Raw genomic sequence first — 25,027 nt, forward strand, 5'->3', positions numbered from 1 at the left:
AAGTGCCTGTGCCAGGGACACTGTCTTGGGGCCAGTGGAGGTCTGAGTATGGGGGCTGGGAGTCCTAGGCAGTGAGTCATGGCAGAACTGGCCCCTGACTTCCTGGTTAAGCCTTTAATTCTCCCGAATGCCTGTTTTTGCTTCTTTCAAGTTGTTGTGCTTGAGCCACTCTGTCATTAGCTGTGGGCGTTCCGAGTGCCAGCGCACAGTGTTGAGCAGAGCGGGTAGGAGCGCCCTGGCTTCAGGGAGGGCCCCCGCCCCCTGCATGGCGGTCACGCTGCGCTGAGCGTCCCCTCCCCTCTGGTGGCCTTTCGCAGTGGTGGAGGGGCAGGAACTGACTGGCTCTTTTCCCTGTGGTGGCTGCTCGGGTGGCAGTGAGCGGACAGCGAGGGGGACAGACACAGGTGGAAGGAACCACGGTGGGTTTCATTAACAATGACAGTGGCTCAGGAGATCCTGAGGCTGATTAATTTGCAAACAGCAATTACTTGGGATTGCTTGAAAAGAAAGTTCTAGCTTAGAACAGGAACCTGAGGAGGGCTGGCCACACTGGAATCCAGTGCCCACTGTGACAGTGGAGAGCCAGCAGACGCCACTGGCTTTGATGGATGATGGAGAGGGTCCTGGTGTCTTCTGCCATTTGTGGGGGGTCCTTGTGTGCTGTGTTTGCAGGCACCATGGGTCTCCCTGGACGGGGTTCGGTTCCACCCCAGCGCCCTTGTCTTGTTTCATCGCCCGTGTCCGGGCTGTGTAAGAAGCATGTCCATTTGTCCCGAGCGGAGGGTCTCTGCCCCGCCCCTGAGGGAGGCCAGGAGGCCCTTGTTGGATGCTCTGGCGGGCGGCACTGGGACACGGCCATTGCACCCGGCCCTGGACACAGGGCGGCCACCGCATCCGGCCCTGGACACAGGGTGGCCAGGGACTTGGCGGGGGGAGCTCTTCAGAATCTGTCACATGCACGTGAATGCTTTATGGCTTTGGTATTCTTCTGTTTAATTTTAGTAAAACCGCGGCCCGTTGCAAGAAGAGTGTGGGCGTTGGCAGCTTTGTCCCAGGTGCTGCAGGGTTGGGGTGGTCCCTGTCACCGCCTGCTGCTGGTGGGGGTCAGCTGCACGGATGCACGGCCTCGCACCAGCGGCAGCCCCAGAGGCCATGCATAGGGCAGGCCCCGGTGGTCAGGGACCCACCCAGTCCTGCCAGGCGTTGGGCTTGGGATGTGCGGCCGGCTGGGGGCACACATTCATGCCGCAGGTCCCCGTGAGTCTGGGCCGTGTGCCTGGCGAGCCCTGAATTCCACCTCACGTCAGCCGCTGGTTCACGTCAGCCGCTGGTTCACGTCAGCTGCTGGTTCACGTCAGCTGCTGGTGTTGAGTGTTCGCATGATGCTTTTCTTTCTTGGGGGATGGATCAGTGGATGGAGAAATAAAGCTGTGAGGGCATAAAATCAATGTTTGTTTATATTGATAATCATCCCTTAAACTCAGATCCAGGGGCGTCAAGAGACCTGAGCCCGGCCCCGGTGTGCCGCGCACTGGCCATGTGTCCGGAGAGGGCTGTGATTGCGGCTGTCAGCCCTGTCCATTGGAGCTGCAGCTTGGTAAATGCACAGATGGATTTTGAGAAGGTTTCCCTCTAAAGATGTGGGAGTCTTTGCACCTCACCAAGCTGTGCTGGTGTGGCCGTGGCACATACCGGGCTTTTTACGTCTCTTCTAGGGAGTGAGTCGGTGGGCATAGGATGGCTAAGGTATGGGAATTTTAATAGGGAATTTTCTAGTAAATGGTTCTGTTAGTATTACAGCTTATTTTAGAAAGTAAGGTGCTTTCATAGAGAACGTTTAAAATTATTAAGAGGTAGACAATTCTTTTAAAAACCTGAAGGTCTTTTTTTTTTTTCTTTTTTTTGAGACAGAGTCTCGCTGTCGCCCAGGCTGGAGTGCTGGAGTGCAGTGGCGCGATCTCGGCTCACTGCAACCTCCGCCTCCCAGGTTCACGCCATTCTCCTGCCTCAGCCTCCTGAGTAGCTGGGACTACAGGCGCCCGCCACCTTGCCCGGCTAATTTTTTGTATTTTTAGTAGAGACGGGGTTTCACCGTGTTAGCCAGGATGGTCTTGATCTCCTGACCTCATGATCTGCCCGCCTCAGCCTCCCAAAGTGCTGGGATTACAGGCGTGAGCCACTGCGCCCGGCCAAAACCTGAAGGTCTTATATTGTGGTGTGAGTTTATATTTATTTCCATCATTTTATATTTGTCAGATTTTTATGCAGGGGGGCTGCATAATGTCTCCCTGGAGAGCCTCAGCCTCTGTGGAAGAGTTGGGTCAGGAGAAGCCTCTCGGCGGAGGAAGCCGGAGGGAGAAGCCTCTCGGTGGAGGAACCTTCACCCAGAGACCAGCCTGGGGGTCCTTGGCCCAGACGGGGGAGGTGGGAACATGGCCTTGGGTTCTTTCCTCCTTGCAGTTTGGGTGAATAATGTGTGATGAGGCCTAAGAGGAGATTTATAAAGAGTATAATCTCTCAGTCTTAGAGAAAAGTGTTTCAAAGTATGGGTTCTCAGTGTCTGTATTGAAAAAATAAAAAATTCAGTGAATGGGTAGGTTATTTTTCGATCTGAGGGTTATTTCTAAGCACATGATTTATCTTTAGCACGGGAGGGTGATGCCCCGCCATGTCTTTTTAGCTTAGGGACTGTCTTCTGCCGTGAGTTGGCCTCTCTGCCTGTGCACGTGTGTTGCCGGCCCCGGCTCAGCTGTGGCAGAAGTCAGTCACCTGTGGAGTTATGGAAGTCCAGGCGGCCACCCCAGGCCGGGGCCTCATTCCGTTAAGTAGGGCCAGGTGTCTGTCCTCTCACGCGTCCGAGGTGGCTGCCGGCGTGCGGGTGTGACTGTCGATGAGAGCTCTGAGCTGGGATATCTGGTGACGGCTGCCCCTGCTTGGTCTTGCGGTGTGGCTGGGGAGAGGATTACTGGGTGGAATGTAGCCGTCCGCCTTTTGTGTTGACCTCTTGACCTCCCTTTTGGGAGGCTTATTAATGTCAAAAAGTGAAGATATGAGGATGGGATCGTAATTTCTTTGTGTTGCTTTCCAGTAGCCCAGGGACCAAGCTGTGGGAACCAGGCCTCCATGTGCTGGCCCCACCGTCCTCGTGGTGCCTGTGTCTGTCCAGGCTTAGTCCTCAGATCAGCTGCTTCACCACATTGGCTGCAGGCTGGGTGGCAGATGCCCCCAGGAGGAGGAGAAGCATTTCTTCCCAGGGCTTTGGCCTGTGCTGTGTGCCTGGAACCTTTAGGTGCTGTGGCTTCGCAGACCCGGACGCAGCGTGGAGGCCAAGCGGTGTCTGTACAGGACCCTTCAGTGATGAGGGTGGCCAGGCTCCAGCCAGGTCCTAGGGAAAGCTCTCCGAGAGCGACGGCTTAAGCAGTTCTGAAAAATTGCAAATGATCTGTGTTCTTGGAGAAAGAATGGGAGAGAAGCACTCACTCACAATAATGTTGCACCTACTGTGTGCGGGTAGGGTGCAGGCAGTGTGGTCCAGTGTGAGCGGGGAGGGTGCTGGTTGAGGGGTTAGTGCTCGGGACGCAGCCTTTGGACCCAGTGCCCTCCCAAAACTCTGCTCATCAGTGCCCCTGAGCTCAGCATTGACCCCTGGAGGAACTGGGCGCCTTCCCTGGTCTCAGACTGTAAGCCTCCTCGGGAAGCAGCAGTTGGCTCCTGATGCAGCTGGCCTCAGATCCTGTTGGGAGAGCAGGATTGGTGAGGAACCTGGAGAGGAGTAGGAGGTGCTGCCTGATAGCAGAGGTGGGTGATGGGGGCAGAGAGGGTAGCAGGGGCCCAGTTCAGTCCTGTCTGGTTTTCACGTGGAGCTTTTTATAGAGTTGTGCTTCTCAAGCCTTTCAAATGCCTCACAGCGGCAGTCCGACGTGCAGTCAGTGACAGCTGAGTAGATTACCACCCTCAGGACTAAATGCAAAATCATCTTCACTGGGTGCAGCATTTACAGTTTTGGTGCTGGAACCTCCTAACCAGTGTTCTTAGGGGCTGTCTTACCAGTGAAGGGAGCTGCCTGCTGTTGACGCTCCACAGGAGGTTTGCGGCATGGCTGCCATCTGTGTTGTGGCCTGGGACTTTCTTAGAGAGTGGGTAAAAGATGAGTCATCTCTTGTGTGATTTATCAGCTTCACTTGTGCTTCCAGGGCTCTTTGAAGCGTCTCACTTTTTAATTTCATGAAGAAACAAATGTAGTGCAGAGAACAGAAAGCTGCTGTGTGACCTGCGGGTGCCCAGCCTGTGGGGCTTCCTCATCGCCCCCATCCAGGCAGATCGAGTGCCGGCTCTCTGTGCTCTCCAGGAGGTGGCCTTTCACAGCAGGGACGTTCTGTGCTCTTATTTTAACAACTGTAAGAATCTGAGCTTGGTGACAGTTGGGTGACCCGGGCTCTGTGTCTTCGTGTTGGCCAGGGTGTGTCATACACCTGGCCTGGCCTGCGTGCCTCACGTGTGGTGGGGATTTGTGACTGTCCCCAGCACCTTGACAGAGGGTCCTTGACTCTGCGACCCTGCACAGTGGGTGGTGGCAGGTGGGATCTTGGTTCACAGGCACAGGTGGGGAGAGTTGCTGGGCCAGCGTGGCTGGGTGACTTTCCTGTGGAAAGAGCGGGCTTGGGGCTTGGTGCGTGATCCCACCGAGGCCGGGGTTGTGCTTGGGGCACTGGGGGAGAGCAGAGCAGGTGATGCATATCCGGGCGCCCACCCTAGCAGCACAGGAAGGGCTGGGATCACCACTCCCCGGGGCACCGTGGGGACAGCGGGGGCCTGCTCACTCCCCGGGGCACCGTGGGGACAGCGGGGGCCTGCTCACTCCCTGGGGCACCGTGGGGACAGCGGGGGCCTGCTTGTGTTGGGGGTGGGGCTCCTTGCCCCCCAAGGGCAGGCCGAGCACCAAGTCTGTGCTTGCCCCACTGTGCAGCGTTGCAGGTGCAGCAGACATGAGGCCAGCTGCTGCTCCCTGCAGGCAGCTGAGGGCCTCTGGGAAGGCTTCTCTACAACGTCCTGTGGGAACTGGAAACCCAGATGTCAGTGGAACCAGGTGTTCTGTCCATCACTGCCTCTTACCTCCTAGCAAATTCAACACTGGCGTTTTTTTTTCTGAGCAAGTTGAGCTGCATTTTTGGGACAGGAGCCATGGCTGTGTGTGCTGGTGCTGAAGGGAGGGTCTGCAGGGACGGCCACACGGATGGCTGTGTGTGCTGGTGCTGAAGGGAGGGTCTGCAGGGACGGCCACGCGGCTCTCGGGAGCCGTTTCCTGCGCTCGGGCTCTGCACCGGCAGGCTCCACGCTGAGGGTCCCTCCACATCCACCCCATCGTGGGAGGGAGGCTCAGTGCTCTGCAGGGGCCTGAGCAGTCGGGGAGACACCCCCTGCCCACAGCCACCCTCTCTGGGCTATGTGGGAGGTGCCCACGTTTCCACGCCTTCCTCGTGGAGGGTGTGGCGGGCTGTCTGTGCCGCGGGGGTACTCGGCTGCACTGTGCACAGCCCTCACCGCCCAGTGCCGAAATGGGAAGGCCTGACAGGGCGATGCGGTCTGCACCAGCTACATCTGCAGAAGTCCAGCACGATGCAGTTTATGCCTGGCAGTGATGTTTGTTTTTAAAATTAGTAAAACCTCATTAGTTATCAGAAGGCGTAACTATATGATGATTTTTTGTGGAGGGATTATTTCTACCTTTTGTGCAGAGAATGCCTGGATCCCTTCTGCCCCTTGGGGTCACATATTGCAGTGGGGACTGTGGTGCTCTGAGGGTTAAGTTGTTTCTGTCACCTGGAGGCTGCTTTTTCCTCAGGCAATTGGCGTTCAACAAATGACAGGCTGTCTAGAGAGAAGGGTTTTTCAATTACATGGCTGGACCTGGGTTGCCAAAAGGAAGCCTCCTGGGGTGTGTTCTATACGCGACATGCATTTGCTGTGTGTAATTGGAACCATGAGAAAGGTTTTTGTTCAGAGCTATTGGATAGTTTCCTTATTTTAAACCTGTTGAATCTGGAAAGAGTTGTTTTTGAAATTTTTTTCTGATAATAACGTTATATAAAAGTTTATGGCAGAGGAGTTTCTGTTCCACACGCCCCTCCCCGAGCTTTGTGGTCGCCCAGGTGCCTGGCTGTCAAGGCTGGCCTGTCCCTTGTGTTCAGGGTCCCGAGATGTCAGAGCTGGCAGCCCAAGTCCTCCCCTTTATCCCGAGCAGGAGAAGCAGTCCTCACTCCATTTTTCACCCCAGGGTATAGCAGCACCTACCACCCTGGGATGAATCAGAGCCAAGAGGCTTGGTTTTTCTGTTCTTGTTAAGGAAATTGATCATCTCACACCCTCTCAAGCTGTTTTACTTTGTGCAAATCAGATTCCTTTCTAGGGACCTGCGAGGAGAAACATCCTCAGCTTCTAGGACTCCCGGGGATGCCGTCAGCAGCCAGGCCTTGGCAGCTGCCGCTTCACCTGTGCTGGCGTGTGGGGCCCTGACGTCTCTTGCGGGTGTCATGGAGCAGGATTGGAGGTTTCTGAGCAGCAGGAGGGCAGGAGAAAGGCCCCAGGACTTTGCGCTGTGGCCTGGCCTGGAAGGAGGCTGGCTGGGCCCTTCTGGATGCCTGTAGCAGCACTGCCACCTGGGCAGAGGCCCCAGAGGCCCCAGAGGCCGAGGCAGGCTTTGTTCTCTGCTGCTGGGACTCAGCCCTGCGGGAGCACAGGGAGGACAGCTGGAAGCCCAGCCCCTCTGTGGCTCTGTCCACAGCTGGGGACAGCAGTCCAGTGTGCACGGGCCACCCACAGCCCTCTCAGGAACTGGCCTCTTCTCTTTAAGACAGAGGAGTGCGCCAGGTGGGCCTCTGGCTGGACCTCCTAGGCCATCAGTTTTCCCAGCAGGAAGTGCTGATCAGACTGAAGGAAGGCCTGCGTGTGTGTGTTGGCCCAGATGCCTGTTAGTGGACGCTGTGTCTGCACAGCTGTCTCTGGGTGGCTGATTCATCCCAGCAGCTGACTACGATGGTGCTAAAGAGAACCATCTTACACGGACTTGGGGACAGAAACCTGGGCTCCCCTACCGAGGTCAGGTCCTGGGGGTGTGGTGGGATCAGCTCCCCCAGCACCTCCGTGGCCTGGGGTGGGGGGTCTGTGTCCTCCCTTGGGGGCTTCTCACAGGGCTGCCAAGCAGTGTCCAGGTGCATGCGTTGGGCGTGCAGGAGGCCTGAGGCCATTGTCCATGCTGGCCACTGCCACTCGCGGTTGTCTGTTGGGAGTCGGTCTGTCCAGTGGATGAATAAATTGGGACTCAGCGGTTTGCACCCAGATGCCCGAGGCTATGGAGTTGCCGGGTGGTCGTGCCTGGGGCTGCCTGGAGTGGTGTTGCAGTGACTGTCCCTGGGGATCTGGCCTGGCAGGGATGCCACATTTGGGCAGCGCTTTCCTCTTGAAGGTGCCACAGCCTGTTAGTTTTGATGTGTTGGCCACGAACAGGCTGCCCTGTTAGCACAGAAAGTGAACGTGAGCAGTGCGAGAAGGCTCAGAGTGGACTTTCCGGGGCAAACAACTGAGGGCCTTTTGGGCGTCACAGATTTGGTTTAGTTCGGATCGAGGTAATCATCTTGAACCCGCTTATTAGAGTCAGTGGCTTTTTCTGTCTCACAGCCGCCTTCTTGTTTGGTTTCGCGTCTCACATGCATTCTGTGATCCTCACTGACTTTTTAGAAGGAAAATGTTTGACATTTACAAGAAGTGAGAGATACTCTTGCAAATCATCCAGCAGTTTCTGGTTTGCAGATTGATGGCAGCCCTGGCCTTTACCCTCAGTGCCTCCTGCCGGTGATGGTGCTGCCGGCTCTGACCTGTGTGAGGAGGGCCTTGGAGAGCACAGGTCCCCCAGGGGGAGGACTCCGGGAGGTGCTTTGCGGGAGGGAGTCATGGCCGAGAGAGGGAACGCAGAGCTGCCGTGTGTGGCCGTGCAGGGCCTTCCACAGTGAGTTGTGGGGTCCTGGGGGTGAGAGCTGATGGTGGTCTGACCATGGTGGGAGGTGGTCCGGTCCTGTAGAGGCGTGGCTGCCGCAGTTGGGGCGGGCTCTGGGAATGGCGCGGTGTCTGGATGTGGAGGAGTGAGGAGGAGCCGGCCCTGAGCTGCACCCAAGGAGAGGGCTGGCCATGGCGGGGGCACCACACCGGAGGACAGCTCTTCTGTGGGCACTGGGCTTGAAGAAGCTGCAGCGCATCCAGGTGGGGTGTCCTGAGGAAAGGTGGCTTGGAGAGGGGTGGGCCCCTGCCTGGAGCCCTGGCAGGCTGGGGAGACCTTGGTGTCTGGCAGGGACCCCGGAATGTCCTGCTGCTCCCCCGGGCCTCTGTGTGCAGCGCCCTGCGTCGTGGCTGGGCTGAGAGGAGGCAGTTTCCCTAGCCCCTCACTCTGGCGAATTTCACATTCTTGATACCACGGTATCTTTGAACTTTCTATTTTGAGGAAAGTTCATTTTTATGTAGTTTTAGTAAGTGTATAAACGTAATAATCTTATTAAAAGTAATCACCATATGTATATAAAATACACTGTGCAGAAACATCCATTTTTATTGCTGTTTATAGAGAATAAAAGATCCTTAGATGCAAAAAGTCAGAGGGGAAATTTGCATATAATATTCGTAGTCCTACAGTTGTTGCTTATGGTGTTTTGCCTAAGACCATTTCTAGGTGCATTTTTCTGGGAGATAATGTATCTGATGACAGTTGCATGTGCAGATAACCGGCCTCTCATGTATCCATCCCGGGAGTGCCTTTTCTCAGACTGTGTGTAGTGTTAGTGAACTTGATTGGTGGGTGTGAAGTGTACAGACGGCGTGTGCGTGGAGCGGGTCGTGTGCAGAGCCCCGAACGAGACCCTGGCGTGTGCGTGGAGCGGGTCGTGTGCAGAGCCCCGAACGAGACCCTGGCGTGTGCGTGGAGCGGGTCGTGTGCAGAGCCCTGAATGAGGCCTTGGTGTGTGGGTGCTTCAGCGTGAGGGCCACCTGGGGAGGAGTGCTTATCTGGGGAGGCTGAGCTGGGTTGGAGGCTTGGGTGCTCCCCCTGGCTCCGTGGGTCTCCATTGCTGGCTTCATAGCTGTGTTCCGTTTTCTTTGTTCAGCAGTTGATCTCAAGTATTTATTCCAAAGCACTTGAAATACATGAACCTAATAAATCGAACAAATACAGTAAAACTTTAGCTTCTTGGAACATCCCCATATACTTACACCACGTCCTAAAATCCTCTCATGTCTATGTAAAAAATCGGGTAGCCTGGGTAACGTGGGATGCCATCTCTACAAAAAATTTAAAAAGTAGCTGGGTGTGATGGTGGCATGCTTGTAGTCTCAGCTACTTAGGAGGCTGAGGAGGGAGGATCGCTTGAGCCTGGGAGGTGGAAGGTGCAGTGAGCCAAGATTGTGGCACTGCACTCCAGCCTGGGAGACAGAGCCAGACCCTGTCTCAAAAAAATAAGAAATAAATGAAATCACACTTGTGTGATGTCAGATTACCCATTAACCCACTTTTGAATGGAGCTGGAAGGATAATCCACACCTACCTCGGATTTCTCTGCGTGGCTGTTTTGCATAGGAGCCCTGCATGGGTTATTCTTGAAGTCAGCACTGTAGGAGCCGTGGCCGGCTTTGCATTTTCATCCTGGTTCACCCCAGACCTGCTCTGGGCAGAGCCAGGCATCCCCTGGGACGCTCTGCCTTTGCGTGTCCACGACAGTACAATTCCAGGCACTGCCTGGCATCTGCGTCTCTCCCTCCCCTGAACCAGGGGCGCCTCTCCCTCCCCTGAACCAGGGGCTCCTCTTCCTCCCTGCCTGGCAGGAGCTGCGTTTCCTTGAGTCTCCTCAGACTCGGCAGACCCCTGGGTGGTATCATGTGCTATTCTGAAGGAGCTTTTGCTTCATGGCACTTGAAAAAAATCCTTTCACTGGATCTGAGTTGGTGAGCATGCATCTTCCTTTCGTAGGTTTGTTTTCTGACCAGGCCGTGGGTCTAACAGGAGCCCCGAACCTCTGGGTGGGCTCCGTGTCGCTTGCGTGCCTCACTCATCTGGCACCGTGACCGCGCTCCGGCCCTGAGCCCCACTTCTCTGAAGCCTCACGTGTTGCCCGTGTGGTCTGCTCCTCACCGTCTTTTCTCTTGTCCTTGCCCAGTTGTCGCCGTGATCCTGAAGGCGCTGACCTACGACGAGAAGCGGGGTGCCTGCAGCGTGGGCACCAACGTCAGGGACGCCGCCTGCTACGTGTGCTGGGCCTTCGCGCGTGCCTATGAGCCTCAGGAGCTGAAGCCCTTTGTGACTGCAATCTCGAGGTAGGCCCATTCGTCGAGGTACATCGGATGCGCCGTGCCCCCTGACGGCGCCGTGTGTCGTTTCCTCCATGAGAGGTGTGCACAGCAGATGCTCGTGAAAAGGTGAAATTACTTGGCCAGAGGATCTGTGACAAAGCCACCGCTTGGAGGTCAAGCTCCTTTTCTGTGGGTGAGCAACCAGAGCAGAAGTGTGTGGAGGAACATTCTGGAGGTCTTGGCCACCCTGCAGGCAGTGGATTCTTGGGCGCAGGTGATCGACAACCAGAGCAGAAGTGTGTGGAGGAACATTCCGGAGGTCTTGGTCACCCTGCAGGCAGCAGATTCTTGGGCGCAGGTGATCGGCACGCTGGGTGGCGTGGGAGGAAGCAAGTGGGGCACGGGAATCGCCTGTGCGTGCTCCCTGCGGTCGTGGGTCTTGGCGAGAGGCGAATTCTGTCTCTATCTCCTTTCAAGTTCCTCTGGAATACAGCAGGCATGTTGGACATGGCAGTCTTCAGATGGTGTTTGTTTTTGTTGAGGAGCTGGATTTTGTGTTTTTGTGGACCAGCACTTGAGAGAATGTTCAGTAGCAATAGCCTTCGCTGGCATGCCTGATGTCAGCTCCTCTGAGATGTAAGTGAACACTTCAGAACCTCTGGGAGGTAGGGAGACACTTTTTCCCTCTGGCTTCCTGATGAGAAAACTGAAGCCAGCAGGTTTCATGGGATCACCAGAACCCCAGAAGCTGTGCGGCCTGTGGCGGGCGGGGCTCCTGCCTCGGTGTCCAGTGCGCGCACCCAGCTGAGCCCCGTAGTGGTGTCCTGTGCCAGGGACTTTCAGGATCTGATACTTTTTGCTTAGGAAACATGCAAAACATGTGTCCCCAGCGCAGGAAACGATTCAATTCAATTCAACCGTGTGCGCTGGTTTTGTACACTGCTTTTGGACTGAAATGAGTTCTTTTGTGCTGAAGAAGGCAGGTGCTTCCTTTCTTGTTGTGCATGAAGGAGCTGGAGGCGGGACACCGAGGAAGGCGACTCAGTGTCACTGTCCGTCATGGGTGTGTGAGCCCACGGCTGAATCATCACAAGGTTTCACACCCGCACTTCACCTGACAACTTTTACTAGGAAAATGAACTAGGGAAACTGACTTCAGAATTATGCCCAAGTCTTAGAAGCTCCTCCTGCAGCTGTTCAGGAGCCGAGCGTCCCCTGCTCACTACAAGACGCCTGAAGGGGTCATGGGATGCAGCGTCTGAAGCTTCCACCTGGAAGTGCACTGCTCCTTTTGGTCTGGGCGGGGCGGGGCGCCGGTGGCAGATGCCCCTGGTGGCAGGCTCAGGCTACTGTGCTGGGTCCCCTCTGCCCCGCACGCCCCGCGAGCACCAGCAGGGCCTCCCCGGCATGTGGCGGGGCCAGCGTTGGCCTGGGGCCCGCTTGGCTTTGATCTCGTGGGGCTTCGTCTTTTGGACGTCCTGGGTGCGCCTCCACTGTGGCTCCTGGGTTCCCTCACGCACCCGGGTGTAAGCGCCACTGCCTGTGTCCGACAAGCAGCTCGTTGTGAGGCACACGCTGGTAAGCAGCTCGTTGTGAGGCACACGCTGGTGTAGGCTCCGAAGGGTCTCGGTGACAGGCGCTTTTCTCTTGTTCCTGCCCACTGCTGTTCCATCTTACCAAATACTCAGTAGCGTCCGGAGAGGGACCTCAACCCGGTTACTTCCCTGGGTGTGCAGCACGTGGCCAGCGTCTCATAGTCTAGATTCTTGCATCAGAGCGAAGCCTGAGAGGAGCCGAGGGTCCTCCTCCTATCCAGGGAGACCGTGTGTTTCCCGAGGCAGCTGTGAACACGCACGTCCCTCTTGTCCTGCTCCTCTTCGGAGGAGAACAGCGCGGCTGGAGGGTGCTGGTGCTGGCCAACGTGTTATGGAGAGTGTGGCTTACCTGAGGCCAGGGAGGTCTGGGGTGGCTGAGAGCGGCTGTGGCCTCTGTCTGCTGCTCTCCCCAGTGGCCACTCTGGCAGCGCTGCTGGGCAGGGGCTTGGCTGCTGGTGGTCTTCAGGGAGCAGTGCCTTGCAGAGTGGAGCAGAGAAGACGGAGAGGTCCGGCTTTAGGCCCCTGCCGAGCTCCTGAGGCCCTGCCGCGTGCCTGTGCCAGCCTGCAGCGCTGCTGTCTGTGTGCGGGAGCTCTTGTGTGTGATCAGCCTCAGGAAAGGCTCTTCCTGTTACTTCCTTGTGCTGCTCCTGCACTTCTAGGAAGTTGATCCTGTAACTAGGAAGTGAAAGCAAAAAAATGTATCTTTCTTATTGTTGATAGGAATAGTCACAGAACGAGAAAACTTCCTTACGTTGATATCTCATTCAGTTTCCTTAGCAACCCTGAGAGGTGGGCAGGGGCCACCGTCATTCTGGTTTCACTGAGGAAGTCAGGACAGCACTGAAGACACCTGTCCAGCACCTTGTGCTGACGGCTTCCCAGCCAGGCCCATCACCTGGTGGCCGAAGGCTTCTGAGCCAGGCCCATCACCTGGTGGCCGACGGCTTCTGAGCCAGGCCCGGCACCTCGTGGCCGACGGCTTCTGAGCCAGGCCCGGCACCTCGTGGCCGACGGCTTCTGAGCCAGGCCCGGCACCTCGTGGCCGACGGCTTCTGAGCCAGGCCCGTCTGGGCAGCAGCTCCCAGGCCCTGGCCCGGGGCTCAGCGCTGCCTCGTGGCTGAGAAGCTCCTCACCACCTGCTGTGAGGCCGTGGAAAGACCCTGAATGCAGACGTGTGACGGCTGCAGCTGCATCTGGCCCCTCAGATGGTGGTTCCCCTTTCATGGTGAAAATCCTCACGGATTTCCTTTTCAGCCTCATATTTTGTCTAAGAGCTGTCAACATCACTGAAACCTGGGCCTGCCCTTCATCCTGGGGAGGACTCCCTGGTCCAGTGTCACAGGAGGAGTCGGGCCAGGGTTGAGGGCTGGCACAGGACATGGGGGTGAGACGAAACCTCCACTCACCTGGGAGGGTGTCTAGGTGGGCACGGAACCCAGGGTCGTGTATGGGCCATCACTCATGGGTTCTCTGTTTTGGGGGAAAGCTGATCCCACTGGAGGGTGACTGTAATGAGAGTCTCCAGATCAGGTGCCGACTTTGGAGAAATGCAGGTGCAACTGTCCGAACAAATCAAGTCCCCGCTACTGGACGGGGCTGGCAGCTCAGCTGGGGCCGGAGAGAAAAGTCACGAGCAAGAAAGTTCTTACCTAAGGTCCTGGACAGGCAGATACATAACTTCTGCCTTTGGCAACGTTAGATGTCATCGTTCCAGAGTAAAATACCTATAAAAACCTGCCGATGCGCGGGGAGCCTGGCCTTGGTCTGGGTGTGGAGGGCTGGGGGCCGGCCGGTCGGTAGGTCCTGGTGCAGGCGGGCCCCGTGCTTCATGGAGGTTGGCGCCGCTCGGTGGCCTGCTCGCTTATTCTTAGGCCTGATTCACAGAGGCTGGGGCCACTCAGTGATCTGTTCGCACATTCTCAGGCATGAACCTTCAGGGCTGGACTCCTGTTCTTTTGTGCAGTTTCCACAGGGGACCCTCTTGCTCCAGGGTCATCTTTCTCACTTTGAAGCCCCTTGAGCCGCCCCTGCACAGCCTCCTGTTGGCCCCGTGAGGGTCCTGACTGGGGCTCCTCTTTTGGAGCAGCTGCCACGTGTGGACCGGCACGGGCATGGTCGTGGTCTGCCCAGCTGGGTGTGGGGTTGAGCCCATCATGCTGTGGGGTGCTCCCTGGGGGTTGTGTGTGTGTGGGTCCCACGGTGGGAGGTGGGGTTGGGGTGAGTGTGACTTCTGTCTGGGGCATGTTGGGTGGGCGTGCAAGGGGGTCCTGGGACTCCTGAGTTTCTCAGGCCTGAAGGACTGTAGGACGCACTGTGGGCTGCAGGCTTGAAGAAGGATGTGAGTTTCTGGAGTAGCCTGGACTGCACAGCCAGGGCCTCCCCGGCATGTGGCGGGGCCAGCGTTGGCCTGGGTCCCACTTGGCTTTGATCTCGTGGGGCTTTGGTTTTTGGAGGTCCTGGGTGCGTCTCCACCATGGCTCCCGGGTTCCCTTGCGCACACCGAGCCAGCAGCTGCTGGGGCCTCAGGGCTCGCAGCTCACAGGCTTCTGACGCCTCAGCCTGGAGCTGGCGTTGTGCCCCTCGCCCCTTTACCTGTGCCATCCCGGCCGCAGACCCAAGGGTGCCCTTGGAGCCGTGCCCGCCGGCCTGGGTGTCAGGCTTGTCCAACGGGTTCTTAGAGAACCTGGGCCCCATCCCTCCTTGGCCCACGCAGACTCCAGGCATCCGGCCGGGCGGGCTGTGAGTCAGGCTGCACCAGGTGAGCGTGTGGGATGCTGCTGGTGCGAGCCTCCCTGCCCAGGAGCCCTGCGCACCCGGGTATCGGTTGGGGTGTGCCCTTCCAGATCTCCCTCCCTTGGTTTGTCATAGGTGACCACATTTTAATTACCAGCTTTTATGCCCGTCAATTTGGGAACGTGATACAATCTTGATTTCTCTAACTTTCACAAGTTCTTCGGTGGGTCCTGTAACAGTGGGTGCTTGGGATCAGAGCATCAGAGTGGAATTTTCGCAGGGAAATGGAAATGCCTGATCGAGCTGGGCGGTGGCAGCAGCCGCTCCTCACTCTTCAGGTGCCTGGCTCTTCTGAGAGTCAGTTCGGGGGTTTAGTGGCTCACTTTTTCTAATTGGTTCCTAGCTTTTTGCTAAAGAAACTTGGATTAACTGTTCTTTTGCCTCATGGTGTGAATTTATACTGTTCCTGTTTTATAAATACCAGAAGGAGCTTCGTAGGTAACTTTTACCATGTGTTGAAGGTAGCATTGGTTTTGAAAACCTGATTTCCTCAGTGTCGCACACGGGTAGCTTAAGAGGTGGGATAATTGTTGGAGTAGTGAATGGATTTCCCTGAGAAGCCAAGTGCAATTTAGGGGCAGTGACAGTGCGAAGTTAAAGTGGGACAGAGTGGTTATGTGTTATCTGCAAAATCCCTCCTAACCAGTAATCACAGTCTAATTTGCAAGAAGGAAAAGAAAGCCGAGCCCTACGCTGCTGCTGCTGCCATTGTGTGTCCAGTGATTTCCTCACCTGAAACTCTTTTGTAAGCAGCTCATGTTGACATCAGCTCCGCCCAGGCAGCCACGGGGCCCTCCCCTGCCAGGGGGCAGCCTCTGACTTTCGGCCTCCACCTCGAGCAAACCTGCTGAGCGGCGCGGCCCAGGGAGGATCCGCCGAGGCCTGCAGATCCGAGATCTCTTCCTCGGGGGCAGGATTGTCCTGGAAAATCAGGAAATGGCAGGCATTGCTCAGAGCTACGTCTTGTTCTCCCTCACCGGTGTTGCTCAGTGGCACAGCTTCCAGGGGAAGACAACACGTGTTTTTCAAGAAAAGTTAAGTGGCCATTACCGAGCAGAGTCCTAACCCTGTGAAACCCGGCAAATCCTGCCTCCACGTCAGCTCAGGTGTGACTCGAAAGCACTTAAAAAATTCTCGTGTTTTACCACTGTGTTGATTAGTGTGAGCTTTGGTTCTTGGGGGTTAGGAAAATTCAGCCATAGGCAGGTCCGATATGATTTGCAACTTTCAAAAAACAGGATGGCTAAATAACAAATTACTAGTCTGATATTTTTTAAATGTCTGACTTTCAAATGACACAGAATTATTGTTTCTTAAGGTAAAAACAGTGTATTTGGCTTTTTATTGCTATAAAATATTATATAAATAAGAAAACTTGAGCTGGGGTGAGGTCTGCACTTTGCTGTACCTGCCGAAAATGAGGTGCCTGGAGCTTGGGACAAGTCGAGGCGTGCACTTCCCCTTGACTCGGACAGGAAAGAGAATCCCTTTCTGTTTGACACAGACCATTTCTCTGTGTTGGGAAATCCTGGTGAAGTATCACATAAACTTCTCCAGCGAAAGCAAACGGGCGAGGACACCTAGGGCACGTTTCAGCGCAGACAGGCCGGCCCTTCTCGCGGCCTCGCAGTGTCTCTCTCCAGGTTCCCGGGGATGGTAGATGAACGTGGTGACTCACTCAGGGTGTTCCTGCGAAGGGAAACTGAGAGGCCCACGTGGGACGTTGGGTGTCCTGTTGGAGTAGTCCTTTAGGAAGGAGCTTTTATATTTATATTTAACTAGCATCATTAAACCTGTTTGTATTTATTTCTCGATGAGCCAGTTTTGTTCTGAGAATGAGAAAATAGAGCCGTTTTAATAAATGTCCAAATCAGGACAGTGTTAAATTTGTTGTAAGTCCATATATAGTTGATTGGTCGAATTAACTTGGGAGTCTGTGTTTAGTTAAAAACAGCGTTTCTCAGGCGTTGCTGTATTTTCTGTGAGGTTCAGTAAAATATACACGCAACAGCAACCATTTTGACTTCTCATGGCAGGAGCCAGCTTCGTTGAAGTGGGCCAGGCTGAAGTGAGGCCAGCTTTGCCTGCTGCAGCCCTGTGGTCTGTGTCCAAATTGCTGAGTACTGCCGGGAGAGGGAGCCGGGAGTGCCTGCGTCTCCTGCTGTCAGCCGGTCTGACTGCCTGAGCGGAGCTGTTGAAGTGGACTGAACAACAGTAACCTTAGAGGGTTAGACTTGGTGAGGATGGTAGATGATTTTAAGTTTCTTCTCTTTTTTCCATTCTTTCTTCATTAATCAATGTTCCACACTTTAAATATAGTAATTTAAACAAATAACACATTTCAAGAATTCAGTGTAACATGTGACCTTTCAGTAGTATTGGCTGGAGCCGGCGGCAATAAAGATAGAAGCCTGTGTTCCTCTTGTGGCAAATGTTAAAGGAAACCAGAAATTCTTGATTCATATTTTTCCCTAGAACACGTGGCTTTACAGGTTTCAAAAAATGAAACTCTTGTTCATATGGTAAATATGACACACATTTCTATGCATTCTGAAAAGATTTAGAATAAACTGCCATTTGTTGTTAAAAATAGCAGTTATATAACTTTTTTTTTTTCTTGAGACGGAGTCTTCCTCTGTCGCCCAGGCTGGAGTGCAGTGGTGCGATCTTGGCTCACTGCAATCTCCGCCTCCTGGGTTCAAGCAATTCTTCTGCCTGCCTAGTAGCTGGGATTACAGGTGCGCATCACCACCCCCGATTAAGTTTTTTGTATTTTTAGTAGAGACAGGGTTTCACTGTGTTGGCCAGGCTGTTCTCGAACTCCTGATCTCGTGATCCACCCACCTTGGCCTCCCAAAGTGCTGGGATTACAGGCGTGAGCCACTGCGCCCGGCTGTAGTTATATAACTTTTAGTTATTAGAAGATCACATTCATATGTCTTGATCAGTTTAATGATTTCTAAGATATCATTAACAAAAGCCATTATGATGTATTGAAATAGGATTGATCTTAAAACGTTCGTGCTAATGTAACGTGAGTTCCCTTTAATTTTAAACCAGTATTTTTCTCTTCTTATTTAGGCTATAGTTTGTTATAAAGAGTATAGAGAGGAAAATGGAGTGCTTTTCTGTTCATAGAGTTTTTCTGAAATTAAAGTCAAAATTTTCAGTTTCAAGTAGTGAAAGCAGTGTTAACAGAAAGTTTCCCAGATACTAATCCTGGGTCTTTTAAGATCTTTAGATAATTAGTTGCTTTCCAAAATAGCTTTTAATTCTGAACTCATTTTAGACTTAAAGAAGAATTGCAAAACCAGTGGAGTTCTTCTAGACCCTCCACAGCATTCTCCGATGTGAACATCTCACATTTGGAAGCCAGGAAGTGCAGTGTGGGATAAAGGCCACTAACAGGCTGGTCTGCCCGGGACCCCGCATGGCATCTGGTGGTCCTGTGCCCTCAGCCTCCTCTGCTCTGTGAGCTCCTCAGTCTTTATCTTTCTTGATCTTGGGGCACTTAAAAAATAGGTTTTATTGAGATGAATTCACTTGCCATAAAATTCACCCCTTTAGGGTCCACAGTTCAGTGGTTTTTAGTGTATTCTCAGACTTGAGGAGACCTCACCCCAGACAGAAGCCATGTGCACCAGGTCCCGTCACCCGCTCCAAGCCTGGCACTGCCAGCCTGCTTTCCGCCCCTGTGGATTTGACCCTGAGACCTCCAGAGACGACTGGCCAGATGTTCTGTAGGACGCCCCTCTCTCTGATGCTTTCTCGTGTGTTACTGGAAAGAGTGATGTGAGGTGACCTGCCCTCCTCCGTGTGCTGTTGGGCCCATATAGTGCCCCACAACGGGTCCTGCGTGGTCTGGACCTTGATCCCTGGTCAAGATGGGGCCTGCCAGGTGCCTCCACTTGAGGAGACTGTGTTTTCCTCTGTAACTAGCAGTGTTCTTGTGGGGTACTCGAAGGTTATGCAACATCCTGCTGTTTCTCCTTTGGTTTTCACCCCATCCGAGCTCTGTCCAAAGACCTTGTTGTGTGGTCTGGTGGTGGTTCCTGTGTCCCCACCCCGACGTTCAGTGATTGCAGCTTGTTCTTAAGGAAGGCTCGTTCCTCTCCCAGCTTTATTTCATCATTCGCTCCTGCCAGTGTGGACTCATGGGTGCTCATCCTGTTTGGGGGTTATCATCTAACACTATTGTTACTAGTTTTGTTTGAGTTATAATCTAACACTAACTATTGTTATTAATGTTGCTCAAATTGCTCCAGCTTTGGCCACTTCAGGTTGGCTTCTGTGTCCTTTCAGCAAGATCCTGTTCTTTTTTTTTTTTTTTTTTTTCTTTTTTCCTGAGCCTTTTTTCTTTCCTTCTGGCACCACAAGATGCACCTGGCTTATCTTTTTGCCCCTGCCCCAGCCCTAGCATCCACCACTTCCCAGGAGTCTCACATCCTCTCGGTGGAGAACAGTATTTGGAATCCAGGACGCCGGGCTTGGCCTCAGCTGCCTCTAGGTCCCCTCCCTCTGTAGCTGAGTGTGTGCCCCTCTTCACAGTCCATGTTTGCACAGACACCAGCTCTAGCCCAGCTTCCTCCTGGCCTCCCTTCGTGTGCCGCTTCTGGGCCTACTGTGTAGCACGCTCTGCTGCCGTGCGTCTGCCGTCATGCATCTGACGTGATTTTGGAGCTGCCAGCCCACACCTGTGTGAGCAACAGACTCACCACTCAGGGTGGGACGCTCTGTGCATCCTCCTCACCCTGGGCATAGCGTTGCCAGGCCATCGCTCGGGTGAGCCCTTCTGGTGCTGCTGGTCTGGGATGCAGACAAGTCTGCCGGTTCCCTCTGTGCTGGTCCGGGATGCAGACACGTCTGCCGCTTCCCTCTGTGCTGGGCTCCCCAGGTCTGTGATTGTTGCTTCTTCAATCTGCATGTGGTTGTGTTCTACAACTCAAGCACCAAACAGGACAGTCCGTCTCCCCCAAAAACTCCCCAGTCTGCTCCCCAACCCTGGGCCAACATTGGTCTGATTTTGGTCCTGATAGTTTACCATTTCTGGAGTGTCTTATAAACGGAAATAATCAGTAGGCTTTTCATTCTGGCTTCGTTGACTTGGCACAGTGCCCTTAAGACTCATCCCAGTGATCTTTCCTTTTTTTTTTTGGAGTGGTGTATTGTTGGACGGACCTGGCGGTCACAGGCCTACCTGTCTCCTTGGGTGTCTCCAGTCCTTTCTGGAGGCTCAGGGGGGCTCAAGGGAAGACTCTGCTTCCCTGCTTGAGTTGCCCGCATTCCTTTGCTCATGGGCTCTTCATCTACCTTCACAGCCAGCCACGTCCACGTCTCGCTTCATCCTTCACGTACCCTATGCCTGTGGTCCTTTCTTCTGCCTCCTGTGTCTGTCCTTCCTTCTTCCTTCCTGTATGTATTTATCTCCTTACCTGTCTACTTATCAGTCTGTCTAGATGGGGTCTCGCTGTGTTGCCCAGACTGTACTCAAATTCCTGGGCTCAAGGGATCCTCCTGCCTCTGCCTCCCACAGACAGATGGAGCACAGGTGTAGCCAGGGCCGCTGGTGTGTACCACTGTGTTCGGCACCCGCTGGGCTGCAGGAGTAATCCAGGGCCCTCTCCCCATCTTAGGGTCAACTGATTGCCAACCTTAATTCCCCTTTGTCAGGTAAAGGAACATGTTTGAAGTGGGACACCCTTATCTTTGGGAGTGGGTATTATTCTGCTGAAGACAAGGGTGGGGACAGATATGCTGTGACCAGGGTAGTTGGGCTTATGACTTTGTTGTTGTTTACGTGGAGGAACTGAAAGACCTGGGTGTGCTGCTGGATGCCCCAAGGATCTGGCAGGAGGAGGCATCCAGGCCCTCAGGGCAGGTAGCGGGTGGGCCTCCGTGGTGTTGGGAGGTGCTGGGCCCGGAGGTATCAGCAGGAACTGCAGGGTCCCTACCGCAGGCTCCCCACACAGTGACACCTGTCTGTCCGTCCGTCTGTCCACAGGAGCAGGAGGGGCTGGGCGGGGAGGACGCAGGGTCTGTCGGAGCATAGCAGTGGCCCGTACGTGAGGGACTTTGTTGTTGCCGTCTCCCCAGGGTGCAGAGCGTGGTGGTTTGTGGCCATCCTTGCAGTGTGAGTGAGCAAGTGGCCGAGGGGTAGACTTTGGATGGCTCCAGGCGGAACTCGGGGAAGGAGGCCGTGTACTCCCATAGCTCTGGGCTCTGTTTGTGGCTGTGGCCACACAGGGCAGGGCCTCAGGGCAGGGAGGCCAGTGCTTTTGGGAAGGGCCTCCCCCAGCCCTCAGAAGCCTCCCACCCTATTCCCCTTGGGCTCCATCCTTCTGTTTTTTTTCTGGCTCTGGTTCCTGGCGTCTGTTTGCAAGGCTGGCTGGACACTGCAACCACCTGGGCTTGCTGCTGTGGCCTGGACGCTGGGGTCTCTCTCGGCCCGGTGGTGAGCTGAGAAGCGGCCCTGTGGTAGAAGAGGGCCTTTCCACGCTGAGACCACAGATTGTCCCTGCAATAAGCAAACATTTCTCTAAAATGTGAGATAAACGCTTTATCCACTGGTGATCCGTGGTTGTTAGTAATTAAACCAAGTAAACGGTAGCTCATTCGGTCAGGCCGCTTGCCGCCGATGAGGGGTGCAGAGCTTCTGCAGCATCCTGGGGAGGTCCCGGAACGTGGGTCTGGGCTGTGCTGATGCTGGAGCAGCCAGCGGGGAGAGCTGCCAGGCCACTCCTGACAGCCCCGCACCCGCTCTGGATGGAAGCTTCTCGCTCCCAGCCGATACGGGCCTGCTGCCTGCTGCTGGGGCTGGAGGGGCCCCTCTGCTTGAGCCTTGGGGTACCCCGTGCCTACGTGCCCTCCTGGCTTTGCCCATGGTTGGTGGCCGTGTTTTGGGCTGCGTTGATGTCGTTGTGGAGCCCGCTCTGGGCCTCGGCACGTCTGAGCTTGATTGGGGTGGAAAATGCACCTGGTGGTTTGTATTATGTTGTTTCTGTTTTATTTAATTTCATTTGCCATTCTTATTTCAAAAGATGCTTCCTATGTTTATGCTATATTGTTAGTTTAACTTCCTACCCTTTCCATCTATGAATTTCTGTTTTTATTGTGGTTCTCAGTGACCACACTCTAGGGGTCCTTTCTCTCTCTCTCTGTCTCTCCCCCCTCTCCCCTCCTCCCTTCCTCCCTCCCTCCCTCCTAGGCAGAGCCTGTGAGACTTGCAGGCATTTCCCCAGAACCCAGGCCCTCTTGGCCATCTGGCTGCTGCCCCACCCAACCTTTGGCCTCTCCTGGGGCTCCTGGATGGTTGGGCGTCCCAAATCCCCATCAGCAGAGCACTTGGTCACAAGGCCCGAGTCACATGCCCCAGCTTCTCCGAGGAAGTGCAGAGTCCAGCCGCAGGGAGGACTTTCTCAACCGGCCCTGGGGCCAGCTGTCCTGCTCCTCCTTGTTTGCTGTGGGCTCACCTCTGTGGGCTGCTCACTCAGACCCACTCGCACCCATGGGACCTTCCCACCTGTTTCTCCTGCCTCCTTCAGTCTGTGCCCAGCACCCCGCTGTCAAGCCCATTCCCCCCCAGCCCCTGACGTTGGACATGCTGGAGGAGACTGTGGCCCTGTGGCGTGTTCTGGGCCATCTCCAGGGCCTGGAGCGGGCACCTGTGCCCAGCACTGGAGGCTGGGGGACAAGTGCTCTCTCTGATAAATGCCCCCGAGTTTCAGTTCTGTGGCTGTAGTTTGTAGGTCTCCTAGCTCAGCATCCCCGAGCCCATGCCCTGGGGACTCATGGGGCCGAGGAGAGAGGAGCGCAGAGAACATGAGGATACGTGAGCCCCTTGCCTGAGAGGTGTGCTGTGAACCTGGAGAGCAAGGCCAGTGGGTCTGGGGTGACAGACAGTGCGAGATGCAGGAAAACAGGCTCGAGATGCTGTGAATCTGGAGAACAAGTGGGCCTGGGTCTGGGGCAACAGACAGCGTGAGACACAGGAGAACAGGCGGGATGCTGTGAAACCGGAGAGCAAGGCCAGTGGGTCTGGGTCTGGGTCTGGGGCGACAGACAGTGCGAGACACAGGAGAACAGACGGGATGTCATGTGCATTGTGGCTGGCAGGGCCGGCGCCTCACACACACGCCCCGGAAGTCAGGATGTGGTGCTGACGGTGTCCGCGCTGCCAGGCTGGAGCGGGTGACGGTGCCTGCGCTGCCAGGCTGGAGCGGGTGACGGTGCCCGCCCTACCGGGCTGGAGCGGAGCTTGCTCTCTCTGCAGTGGGACCTGCTCACTTTTCCTTAGCTGGATGTATCTTTCACATTTAGCTTAACAGCAGAGCTGGTGAGAGGACGCACACCTGGCGTCACCATTGTCCCCCGTGCATGTCCCCGGCGTCCTTCATGTTGACGCGGGCCCCGCCCCACGGCTCAGGTCTGTCAACTTCCCTGGAACAAGGCAGAGCACTTGGCCCCTGGAAGACCTGGAAACCAGGAACCTCGGAGGCGCTGGCGGCCTTGGAGGCCGCTTATCTCCGCGTGTCTGAAATTCTGTTTTCCACCTTTTCCCTTTAGGCTGGTAGGAGGCGCAATCTCTCAAGCCTTCCTTAGAAAGGATGATTGTCCTCCACCCTGCCCCAAACCCCCTGTGTTCTGTGCAACGCCTGATGAGAGCGTTCTGGGTTATTCACAGTAACTGAGCTGGGTGATCTCACAAGAGGACATAATGAAGCCCAAGGAGCCTGGTGGGGGCCGGGAGAGGCCTTGCTCTGAGTGTGGCTCGCATGGGGGCAGCGCCTTGGCGTCTGTGTGTGGTGCGGTGGTTTTCCTGCCACTCTGTGGAAGGGGCCTCTGCCAGACGCCTTGTCTTCAGGGCCTCAGGTCCCTCTGGGCACGGTGGGTGTTCATGTGTTTCTGCAGGGTTAGGCTCTGTGCATGGCGTGGTCTGCAGGACCTGGACAGCCCCTGCCCCGGGGCATTTGTGTCGGCCACCTTGGTTTGCCCCCCTGTCCAAACGCTGCCAGTTCTCGTCCTCCAGGGCACTCCGTTTCTGTCTTTTCATTCACTGGACCTCCCCACCTCCTGCGCCGCCCCACCACAGCAGGCCAGGTGCGTTCTGCCCCCAGGCCCTGTCCTCGTGGCTCTTTGATCCTGTGCCCTCGGTGTGCACCGTCTCGTGGCTCTCGTTAGAACCAGGGTCGGCCACCCCCAGCTCCCACATGGCGTCTGGTGTCTTGGGGGTCACATGTGTCTGTCTGCAGTCCCTGGGTGCCTCAAGCTGTGTGTTGCCTGTGGGGCATGTCTGAACCTCAAGTGGGCCTGAGTCGTGAGAGAAAGGCTTTCTCATCGATACTGTGTGGTCTGTACTGTTTTGCAGAATTTCTTTTTAATTAATCCTTTCTCTTTTTCACAGTGCACTGGTGATTGCTGCGGTGTTTGACCGAGACATAAACTGCAGAAGAGCAGCCTCTGTAAGTTTTCTCATTTTGATATTTCCTTTCCTGAAGGTGGGGGGTGGGCCTGGTCTCCCTGATGCTCCTCTGTGCACTGCTGCCTGGCCAGCTCACCCATCCACAGCAGGAGCCGCGAGGGAGCTGCTGAGAGTGCCAGCTGCGGGCAGGCCACTGGTTCTTACTGTCTCTGGGCGTCTTCAGCGTGTGAAGGGCGGTCAGGGTTAAGCATCCCCAGAGCTGCAGCCATCACTGCTGGGGGTTGATGGGTGATGGAGGCGAGTGGGAGGTGCCCGATGACAGGTCTTGGTGCAGGCAGCTGCACGCTGAAGACGCAGAAGAGAGTGGGTTCTGCGAGGGTGGCCAGAATGTGGCGGCGGGACGGGTCACTCACCGGGTGGCTTTGAGCCTCGGGAGGGGCTGTTGCGAGCAGTGGTCAGCTCTGCTTCACCCGCCACACTCGCCTGGGCCTTGCTGGATGTGGGAGCTGCCTGCAGGACCGGGTGCGTCTTGAACACAGATGGCTGGTTTCCTCTAGAGAGAGCCCTGTGACGTTTGGGGTGAATTCTGGGTGTGAGGAGCTGTAGCAACTGCTGCTGCGCTGAGCAGACTACTTCATTTGGCTCAGAGCTGGGCTGGAGTGAGGCCTGTGTCTCTTGGGACCACAGAGAGCGGACAGTTGAGACGGTGGACCAGTCTCAAGATAAGAGTCTTTATTTCAGATACAGATAAGACGCTGAACACGTTTTAAGAGGGTAAGAACAGAGAGGCAGCCCTTTGAGAAAGATGGAGGGGTGAGGTTGGCTTTTGGTGATGGGGTGGGCCCCACAGTTCCTCATGGGCTCGAGCTGCTGGAACTCTGTGTGCAGGCTCAGC

At 55.3% G+C, this 25,027-nt stretch overlaps 1 protein-coding gene and 1 long non-coding RNA gene across 33 annotated transcripts in view, besides 10 other annotated features; one reads left to right on the top strand and one right to left on the bottom strand.

The window, feature by feature from the left end:
- The window catches only part of TBCD (tubulin folding cofactor D), a 193,850-nt gene that overhangs the window by 107,966 nt on the left and 60,857 nt on the right, over positions 1-25,027 (top strand). For 22 of the 32 annotated variants that reach the window (NM_005993.5, NM_001411102.1, NM_001437989.1 and 19 more), the window contains 2 exons: positions 10,194-10,350; positions 24,115-24,172. In NM_005993.5, the coding sequence (NP_005984.3) occupies positions 10,194-10,350; positions 24,115-24,172 (215 nt within the window). Of the gene's footprint in view, positions 1-336; positions 4,398-10,193; positions 10,351-15,554; positions 15,821-16,750; positions 16,952-22,979; positions 23,811-24,114; positions 24,173-24,758; positions 24,907-25,027 lie in introns of those variants that run through there. The other 10 variants (XM_047436621.1, XM_047436625.1, XM_024450899.2 and 7 more) reach the window with 9 other exon arrangements.
- Positions 3,998-4,507: an enhancer, noted in NCBI's record as "active region_13017". NCBI's record gives its function as "activates an Ori minimal core promoter by ATAC-STARR-seq in GM12878 lymphoblastoid cells {active_cell/tissue: GM12878}" and the evidence as "EXISTENCE:reporter gene assay evidence [ECO:0000049][PMID:35858748]".
- Positions 4,798-4,877: a silencer, noted in NCBI's record as "silent region_9230". NCBI's record gives its function as "represses an Ori minimal core promoter by ATAC-STARR-seq in GM12878 lymphoblastoid cells {active_cell/tissue: GM12878}" and the evidence as "EXISTENCE:reporter gene assay evidence [ECO:0000049][PMID:35858748]".
- Positions 6,143-6,644: an enhancer, noted in NCBI's record as "H3K4me1 hESC enhancer chr17:80824049-80824550 (GRCh37/hg19 assembly coordinates)". NCBI's record gives its function as "activates a minimal SCP1, AML or CMV promoter by ChIP-STARR-seq in primed H9 embryonic stem cells {active_cell/tissue: H9 hESC(primed)}" and the evidence as "EXISTENCE:reporter gene assay evidence [ECO:0000049][PMID:30033119]".
- Positions 6,645-7,144: an enhancer, noted in NCBI's record as "H3K4me1 hESC enhancer chr17:80824551-80825050 (GRCh37/hg19 assembly coordinates)". NCBI's record gives its function as "activates a minimal SCP1, AML or CMV promoter by ChIP-STARR-seq in primed H9 embryonic stem cells {active_cell/tissue: H9 hESC(primed)}" and the evidence as "EXISTENCE:reporter gene assay evidence [ECO:0000049][PMID:30033119]".
- Positions 8,572-12,596, bottom strand: LOC124904096 (uncharacterized). The gene is made up of 2 exons (XR_007065971.1): positions 9,585-12,596; positions 8,572-9,192 (listed from the first exon to the last, which is right to left on the bottom strand). It is a non-coding gene; the product is annotated as an uncharacterized LOC124904096 (long non-coding RNA).
- Positions 10,823-12,020: an enhancer, noted in NCBI's record as "amplified fragment containing the chr17:80828733-80829926 (GRCh37) CAGE-defined region". NCBI's record gives its function as "transcribed enhancer in B cells {active_cell/tissue: B cell}" and the evidence as "EXISTENCE:reporter gene assay evidence [ECO:0000049][PMID:24670763]".
- Positions 11,458-11,507: an enhancer, noted in NCBI's record as "active region_13018". NCBI's record gives its function as "activates an Ori minimal core promoter by ATAC-STARR-seq in GM12878 lymphoblastoid cells {active_cell/tissue: GM12878}" and the evidence as "EXISTENCE:reporter gene assay evidence [ECO:0000049][PMID:35858748]".
- Positions 11,628-11,787: a silencer, noted in NCBI's record as "silent region_9231". NCBI's record gives its function as "represses an Ori minimal core promoter by ATAC-STARR-seq in GM12878 lymphoblastoid cells {active_cell/tissue: GM12878}" and the evidence as "EXISTENCE:reporter gene assay evidence [ECO:0000049][PMID:35858748]".
- Positions 15,423-16,622: an enhancer, noted in NCBI's record as "MED14-independent group 3 enhancer chr17:80833329-80834528 (GRCh37/hg19 assembly coordinates)". NCBI's record gives its function as "activates an origin of replication core promoter dependent on BRD2, BRD4, P300/CBP and CDK7 cofactors, and independent of MED14, by STARR-seq in HCT116 cells {active_cell/tissue: HCT116}" and the evidence as "EXISTENCE:reporter gene assay evidence [ECO:0000049][PMID:35650434]".
- Positions 22,655-23,452: an enhancer, noted in NCBI's record as "H3K27ac-H3K4me1 hESC enhancer chr17:80840561-80841358 (GRCh37/hg19 assembly coordinates)". NCBI's record gives its function as "activates a minimal SCP1, AML or CMV promoter by ChIP-STARR-seq in naive H9 embryonic stem cells {active_cell/tissue: H9 hESC(naive)}" and the evidence as "EXISTENCE:reporter gene assay evidence [ECO:0000049][PMID:30033119]".
- Positions 24,953-25,002: a silencer, noted in NCBI's record as "silent region_9232". NCBI's record gives its function as "represses an Ori minimal core promoter by ATAC-STARR-seq in GM12878 lymphoblastoid cells {active_cell/tissue: GM12878}" and the evidence as "EXISTENCE:reporter gene assay evidence [ECO:0000049][PMID:35858748]".

Source organism: Homo sapiens, chromosome 17 (genome assembly GCF_000001405.40).
Source record: "Homo sapiens chromosome 17, GRCh38.p14 Primary Assembly".
Taxonomy (NCBI): domain Eukaryota; kingdom Metazoa; phylum Chordata; class Mammalia; order Primates; family Hominidae; genus Homo; species Homo sapiens.